General features: G+C 38.4%; 1 long non-coding RNA gene across 1 annotated transcript, besides 1 other annotated feature; it reads left to right on the top strand.

Moving 5' to 3' along the window:
* Positions 1 to 445: 445 nt before the first annotated feature.
* Positions 446 to 2703, top strand: LOC124903161 (uncharacterized). Its single transcript, XR_007063764.1, has 2 exons — positions 446 to 1572; positions 2155 to 2703. It is a non-coding gene; the product is annotated as an uncharacterized LOC124903161 (long non-coding RNA).
* Positions 2177 to 2296: an enhancer, noted in NCBI's record as "active region_7598". NCBI's record gives its function as "activates an Ori minimal core promoter by ATAC-STARR-seq in GM12878 lymphoblastoid cells {active_cell/tissue: GM12878}" and the evidence as "EXISTENCE:reporter gene assay evidence [ECO:0000049][PMID:35858748]".
* Positions 2704 to 4255: the final 1552 nt, after the last annotated feature.

Here is a 4255-nt window from a genome sequence, read left to right as displayed (position 1 = left end):
AATACTGCATAGTGTATCTCCCTCTCAGATATCCACAAGGAAACTGAGCATATTTTAGGTTCTGAGAAGTCTTACATTAAAAAAAAAACTTTAAAAAAAACATAGTGGATTAAACAGTCATATATTTACATCTATTCTTTCATGAACTACTGTTAAATGTCAGTTAAAAGGATTTTAAACAAAGAAGGCATAGTACAAAGAAGACAGGAAATAAGTGAAGTGCAGATAAGAGATGGCATCAAAATCTTGGAAGCTGGCTAGGTGCAATGGCTCACATATGTAATTCCAGCACTTTGGGAGGCCAAGGTAAGACGATCACTTGAGGCTAAGAGTTTGAGACCAGCCTAGGCAATGTAGCAAGACACCATCTATAAAAAATAAAAATATTAACAGGACATAGTGGGACACACCTGTAGTCCAAGCTGCTCAGGAGTCTGAAGTGGGAGGATTTCTTAAGCCCAAGAGTTTGAGGCTACAGTGAGCTATGATCACACTATTGCCCTCTGGCCTGGGGAATAGAGCAAGGCCCTGCCTCAAGAAAACAATTTTTATTGGAAGCTGCAAAGCAGAAGAATGTATATCTAAAATTTCTAGACCAAAGAAAGAAATCTAAGCAAACAGTGGGGAGAAGTCTGAAACACATCAACTTGAACCCTCAGTCTCCCAAAGATTCAAAACTGAAGGCACAAGATACCTCTGAAGCCAGGGGTATGGTTAAATCTGCAAGTAGTAAGTGGGTTTGAAAGCTTAAAATAAGTAGCAGTTAGAGCCAGTGTGTCCTCCTCCTTTACCCCATGCAGCAGAATGACTGTCTTTCCGCCACTGTGTCAGAAGATGGGTGTTTTAGTCTCTGGGAAAATGGAGCCAGAGGGATCTGGTATTGAAAGCTTTATGAGAAGGAGAAGGTAAAACAAAAAGGAAAGGTTTCAGTGAAAGTTGACACTGATGACTGAGGTCCACCTCCACACCCTCTTTCACATTTAGCTGCCAGGATACTGACAGCAGGCCTATACTCCCCAAGCAGGAGATGGGGGTATTCATTTCTGGGGATGCTGACGAGACCATGAGAAATACCTAGAGACAGAGTTTGGGATACTCCAAGGAAATGGCCACCACATCACTTGAGAGTACAGCCCAGTGGACAAGTCCTCTGCCCACCAATGAAACTATGCTCATGAAATGAGAATATACATCAGGAATCAGGATGACAACCCCATAGTACTGATAGGAGCTAGAGAGCAGCAAAGCAATGCCTTCAAAATTCTGGGGTAAAATATTTTTCCACTTAGAGTTTTATAGCCAGAAAAGCTATTAATCAGATGCAAGGTTAGAATGAAGACATTAGTAGACGTTTAAGGTCTCAACATATTTTCACCTAGGCTTGTTCAGGAGGTCCTTGAAACATCTGCTCCAGCAAAATAAACAGAATAAAACAAGAAAGAGAGAGAGTTCTAAGCTCCAGGAAGCAGAGAAGCAAAGAGGATTGTGTTGATGACAAGAATGTCCCACGGCTACAGCTGTTCCAGAGAGCAGCAGAACTGCTTGTCACAAGAGGACAGAGGGCTCCAAGGGGTATGCCTTCAAGAAGAAAGCTACACAGTTAGAATATTTAATGTTTGAACTAATTCAAAGGAGAGTTTCAGTTATGTTAGAGAGTTCAGTAGTAAATTATTAACTGACATAGAAAACTAAGCAAACATAAAATGTCATTTATAATTCCAGTTGATATAAGAAATTTTAAATAAAGGAAAGGTAGTACTTGTGGCTCAACTGTGAATAATAGTTGTGTAGCCACAGTAAGATAAACTGCTTATATTTATTTAAACCCAAATCACAATATAAGTATACTGAGTGAAATGAAGAGTGGGACACACCTAAAGTGGATATAATGTCTTAGTTCATTCGTGTTGCTATAAAGGAATACTCAAGGGTGGGTAATTTATTAAGACAAGAGGTTTATTTGGCTCATGGTTCTCCAGGCTGTACAAGCAGCATGGAACCAGCATCTGCTTGGCTTCTGGTGAGGTCTCAGGAAACTTCTACTGGTGGTGGAAAGAGAAGTGGGGCTGTGTATGCAGAGATCACACGAAGAGAGAGGAAGTAAGATAGAAAGTGGGGAGGTCCCACGCTCTTTTTAACAATCATCTCTTGCAGGAACTAGAAGAGCGACAACTTACTCATTATCAAGAAGACAGTACCAAGCCATTCATGAGGGATCCATTCCCATGACCCAAACACCTTCAAACAGACCCCACCTCCAACACTGGGGATTAAATTTCAACATGAAGTTTGTGGGACAAACATCCAAAGTACAGCAATATCCTGTTTCACAGACAGCAATAGGTGATATCTAAAACTAAAGGATCAAGAAATAGGAGATAAGTGTGTCATATAGATTGCATATGGTAAGTAGCAGAAGAAACAGAAAAAGAGTTTAAAGTGTCTGATGTATTAGTTGGAAAAACAAAGAACAAAACTACAGCACAACAATGTGAAGTTTCAGAATTCAAGGAACAAAAAGAAATTCCTAAAAGCTTCCAGAGAGGTTAAAAAATAGTAGATGACAAATCTCCTACAAAGGGGATTGGGTGTGGGGAAGAATGGGATGAAGAGCCTTTTAAATGTAAGCTTGTAGTAGTACCTAATTTTAAAAATTATGTTCTTTTGTTACTCGATAACAAATAAATCTTCAATTTAAAAGCAGAATAGAAAACCACTGTTAACTAAATGTACCCACTTATTTGACCACAGATCACTTTTTTTCCTGGCTCTTGAGGGACAAATGATCTATGAATTTCATTTTTAGAAAAACTGCTCTGACAGGGAGAAAACAACAAAAAAACTCTGCAGAGGATTACATGTATAACTATGTCCTTGAACTATTTACATAAGTGCTTAGTGGAAAAGGAAGTCTTGATAAAGAAAGAACCCAAGTGCACTATCCATGAGGGACTTACAGTTCCTCCTCTTTCCCCTGCTTTCGGTCAGATGAGCAACTTTCTGTGAATTTCACTAAGGGGAATGGGAAAGTCTTTGTAAAACCCTATCTTGCTCTAGCATATCAACAGCTTGTCTTTGGTGATAGTATTCTAGATACACAGGCCATGATCATTCATCAAGCACACTGCCAAATTACATTCCTTTGCTTTGGAATTTCTTTGCCTTTGGAGTTTTCCATTGCTTTGTGAAGACTCTGGCTTCTAAAATTCTGATGACATACCACATTTCAGTGAGTGTCATGGGATTACTGAGGGGGTGAAATAAACCTGACATTACAAGTATATCTGACCACTGCCACTGTTTCTTTGTTTGATATGTAATACTTTCTGGAAGCTCCACTGCACTGCTGCCCCATATTGAACTTACTCTCAACTTGGACCTAAAGGGTTTAAGAACTCTTTTCGCACATGCTGCTGTTAAGCCCGATCTCCTCAGTTTTATATTTGGATTCAAGTTCTTGACTTTACCTGTCATAAATGAAGTATGGCTTGAGAGATCCTTTTGAAACTTGTTCTGTCATTCAAAACATATTGCACCTCTCATAGCTTCATGTCACCCACCTATCTTATAAGCACTCTTCTATGTATTTATTCAAGTGATTGCTTGAAAGGGTGAATCGGTTGGATCCAAGGAAATTGATCAGCACATTTAGCAACCACTGATTAATCAGTTTTAATTAGCCAAATTGTAATGTCATAATGCCCAAATTTCTCCAGCCTGTCCAATGGATATTATGTCAGATGGCTTAAATTCCAGAATCATTGTATCTATCACTGTCTGTTTGGTGGGCTTAGTTATCCTTTCACAAAAAGAAAATGTAAATAATTTCACATGATGTTTTGAATGAACATCTTCTGGCTTGATTATCACCATTTCTTCTTCTGAAGATTGCCTCACAAACCATTCTAAGACATTGATTTTAGAAGTTTCTCCAAGATTTCTGTCCAGAGGAAAATAATCTTTCTTTTTTTTAATGAAAAATCAAAACTATATATTGTCCTATGCTTTTAGCACTTCTTTCTCCATAGTTCTTGAAAGATCATTGACAATGTTTCATGCATCTTTTAGAAAGTGATCTCAGTATTCTGAGACATAAATTGCCCAGATCACATGATTTTTTGCTCATCTTAGGCTTCAATTCCTTCTCTTCATTTTTTTCTGAGGACTATTCTCATATATCCTTCATATCAAATCAAAATTAGGTTTGGAGAGCATTCTCAACTGCAAATGTACAGGGGGTTGTAAGGATAGTAAA

This window comes from Homo sapiens, chromosome 13, assembly GCF_000001405.40.
Source record: "Homo sapiens chromosome 13, GRCh38.p14 Primary Assembly".
In the NCBI taxonomy this organism is placed as follows: Eukaryota; Metazoa; Chordata; class Mammalia; order Primates; family Hominidae; genus Homo; species Homo sapiens.
The sequence above is the reverse complement of the archived record's forward strand: the minus strand, read 5'-3'. Positions and strand labels throughout refer to the sequence as shown.